The following is a 4,405-nucleotide window of genomic DNA, read 5'->3' on the forward strand; positions in this document are numbered from 1 at the left end:
TGTCGACTTGATTGGACCATGGAGTTTCCAGATATTTGCTCAAACATTAAACTAGATGTTTCTGTGATGGTGCTTTTGGATGAGATTAACACTTAAATTGGAAGACTAAGTAAGGTAGATTGTCCTCCCTAATGTGAGTAGGCATCAACCAGTTAATTGAAGGCCTGAATGGAACAAAAATACTAACTCTTCCCTGAGTTAAAGGAAATTCCTCCTGGCTGACTACCTTTAAACTGGAACATTCACTTTTTCTTTTCTTCAAACTTGAACTGAAGCATTGCTTATTCCTGGTTTTCAAGACTGCCAGCCTTTGGACTGGAATACACCACGGCTCTCCTAGGTCTTCTTTGCAAATGTACCTTGCAAATCTTGGGGCTCATCAGGCTCCATAATCATGTAAACCAATTTTTTATAGTAAATCTTTTGTGTGCATGTATACATATATATATTCCATTATTTTGTCATTTATATCCTATTATATACATATATATATATATCCTATATTTTTACCTATCTACTATCTGTTTATCTATCTGTATTCTATTCATTCTGTTTCTTGGAAAACTTTGACTGATACATATTTAAGTACCAAGAGTGGTTCTAGAATAATAAAATTTTAAAGATAAATTTTCTGAATTGGGTCTGGGGTTTCTGTAATTGGATATGTAATATGATAATACTTAAATATGCCAATAGCTCTATTTCCAGTAATAAGAAAGCTAGTAGTTCATGGTATGATGTGGCAATAGAGACTAGAAAAATATTACCATTGCACACTCCTAACCAACCACTTATAAATAAGGATCTGAGTAACTGTGTATATGATACTTTTAAACATTATTGTCAAACTAACAAATAAAATGGCATTGGCTGGTTGCTTCTAGAGTTTCCTGGACAAAATATGGAAATAAAATGATGAGCACAGTGAATTGAATTCCTGCCTCAAGCACTACATACATTACCTTAAAGCTTCTATGTGGGCCCTGATGGAGCCCCTTATCTCCTGCAGCTGCAGGGCTGATATTGCTAAAAATCAATTCTGAATGTCATCTTGCAACTGACTGAATCCCAATGAAAGTTAATGCCCCCACCTCTCAGAGTGTTTACTCTTAACATAAATACATTGATTGGGAAGAATGAAAAACTAAAAATTGAAATGGAGATATGAAAAGAAACTGATCAAGCTGGAGCCATTGAGTCTCTAGACTCCGATGAGTCCTTTTTGCCAGTGGAAGCAGCCTCTCCGCTCCCATCTGAGAAGATTAACCCTGCATTTGTTGAGGAACAGCCTTTCCCTGAGGTAGTTGCCATGAATTTTCCTGGTTCTTAGGCCTTTGGCTTTGGACTGGAAAGACAATATCAGCTCTCCTGGGTCTCCAGATTCCCAACTCACCCTGCCATCTTGCTATCTTGGTACTTAGCCTTCATAATTAAGTTAGCAAATTCCTTATAATTAACCAACAAATAAATAAATAAATAAATAAATAAATACTATATTGGTTCTCTTTCTCCGGAGACCCTGAATACATGTACCAAGACTATCAGTAAACTCTTACATTTATGATTTTATTCCTGATCATAGGTATAAATAATAAAAATGACTGAGGCTTGCTGGTTCTAACTTTGCACATCATGCCACAAATTTCACAAATTTAGCTAGCTTTCAGTATGACATCTGATAATAGATATTTTCTTGTAGCAACTGAACTAGGACAAAGAAAAGCCAATCTCATATTTTACACCAACTTCTAGTCAAATGTTAATGAAGTAAGTATATTTATGCATTTCATTTGTACTTATGGTAGAATGACTTCTACTTTACAGTAACAAATTAATGTGTTTATCCACCTGATGACTTGAAGTAGAAAGGTCTTTGCAGAGTATTTAAAATATAACTCCATATATATGGTCATTATATCTTTTTGATTACAGTTATAAAACTACAGTATTTACAGTATTCTAGTTTGCTGATTTTGTCCTGAAGCCTAGAATAGTTTGACTTTACTGTTTATGAAATGTTCTATTTAAAGGAATACTTCACTCTGTCTGAGATTTTTTTTTTATCATCTGCTTCTGTTTTTTTTTAATCATCACTTCCATAAAATGACTGATTAAAATTAGTCATTGCTGTAAGTAGCATTAGTTTCTGGAATCCTCCAGTATACTTCAAAATTAAAGTTCAGAAGGCAATTAGCAAACTCAGATTGTTTGTTTCATGTGATTATTTATAATACATAGAGGAAAAATAATAGCCAAATCTGGTTCTCTAGTAATTAATTATGTGTACATATTTGTATCTAAAGTATCTCCTGCTCCAAAGTTTGGAAATAATAATCAACAATAATCAACATGATATAATTCTGCACTTGAGTGGGTTAAATTAATTTACAAATAAGCTTCTTTTCCTTTAATGTATTTCAATTGATTTATCTTCAACAAATTATTATCCACATCCATGCATTTTCCACTGCTGCACTCTCAACAAACAAATACCAGCAGGGAACCACGGTATTTTGAAGGGGATATTTATTATTTTGCTTGACAATTATTATAATCCTATTTGCTGTATTTTTTCTCACTATTTTATTTCTTAGTCAACTTATATGATTCATTTCATTCCACATTTATTTCAAGTAAATGCCTTTATTCTGCATATTTCTTAACAATTTTTGATAATGGCCACCTTTTAACACTCCATATATTTTTACAAAATAACACTTGGAAAATTAGATTATGGATGATTAATGTTAAGTGATACATTTAGTATTAAATGTATATTAGAAAAAATTTTTGGCTATGAAAATTATTAAATGTTTTACTTAATTACAATTAGTATTAGTAATAATAATCAGTTATATTGTTTTTACTATGGCAATGAAATATAACAAATAAATTATCCTTTTTCCATCAAAAATAGGACTCTACATGCATTCAAAACATGCATTATGATTATTGGCAAACAAAATAAGTGTCCTTGAAATCAAACATTCTTCACTGCAGTTCAAGTCACTTGATACATTGCTAACGTATCAGATAATTAAATGGACACATAAGTACTAGCTATTTAAAGCAACTTTGGATAATAGATTTATTGAGTATGTATAAAATACCAGATTCATGGAGTAAAAAACAAACACATAGTTCAAGGAGAGTAAGGAGAATATTTGATACCTAAGTTGTTATCTGCAAGTAATCTGCATTTTGTAGTCAGTTGTCAAATTTGATTAATTGTGAGTTCAGAGGACAGTCAGTACACAGCAGCCTTCATTAGATCCAGAAATTTTCTATGCCCTTCACCAATAGTTGGAATGGTTCTGCTTACATATTTGACTTCTGCATTTTATATATATTAGAAGCCTCATACACAGAGGCACAGTGAATTTATTTATTTTTTCTCACGGAGAAGAAAGAATAGTACAAGAAGCAGACAGTTACAAACATCCATTAACATCTCCAGTGATCTCACAATCATTTTTCAAGAGAGGTAATTTCAAATTGATTTTAATAACTTGAAACAATATTCACCATAAAACACATTTTCTTTTTATTATTATTATTATTATTATTTTACTTTAAGTTTTAGGGTACATGTGCACAATGTGCAGGTTAGTTACATATGTATACATGTGCCATGCTGGTGTGCTGCACCCATTAACTCGTCATTTAGCATTAGGTATATCTCCTAATACTATCCCTCCCCGCTCCCCCCACCCCACAACAGTCCCCAGAGTGTGATGTTCCCCTTCCTGTGTCCATGTGTTCTCATTGTTCAATTCCCATCTATGAGTGAGAATATGCGGTGTTTGGTTTTTTGTCCTTGTGATAGTTTACTGAGAATGATGGTTTCCAATTTCATCCATGTCCCTACAAAGGACATGAACTCATCATTTTTTATGGCTGCATAGTATTCCATGGTGTATATGTGCCACATTTTCTTAATCCAATCTATCATTGTTGGACATTTGGGTTGGTTCCAAGTCTTTGCTATTGTGAATAGTGCCTCAGTAAACATACGTGTGCATGTGTCTTTATAGCAGCATGATTTATAGTCCTTTGGATATATACCGAGTAATGGGATGGCTGGGTCAAATGGTATTTCTAGTTCTAGATCCCTGAGGAATCGCCACACTGACTTCCACAATGGTTGAACTAGTTTACAGTCCCACCAACAGTGTAAAAGTGTTCCTATTTCTCTACATCCTCTCCAGCACCTGTTGTTTCCTGACTTTTTAATGATTGCCATTCTAACTGGTGTGAGATAATATCTCATTGTGGTTTTGATTTGCATTTCTCTGATGGCCAGTGATGATGAGCATTTTTTCATGTGTCTTTTGGCTGCATAAATGTCTTCTTTTGAAAAGTGTCTGCTCATATCCTTTGCCCACTTTTTGATGGGGTTGTTTGT

This window comes from Homo sapiens, chromosome 13 (assembly GCF_000001405.40).
Source record: "Homo sapiens chromosome 13, GRCh38.p14 Primary Assembly".
In the NCBI taxonomy this organism is placed as follows: Eukaryota; Metazoa; Chordata; class Mammalia; order Primates; family Hominidae; genus Homo; species Homo sapiens.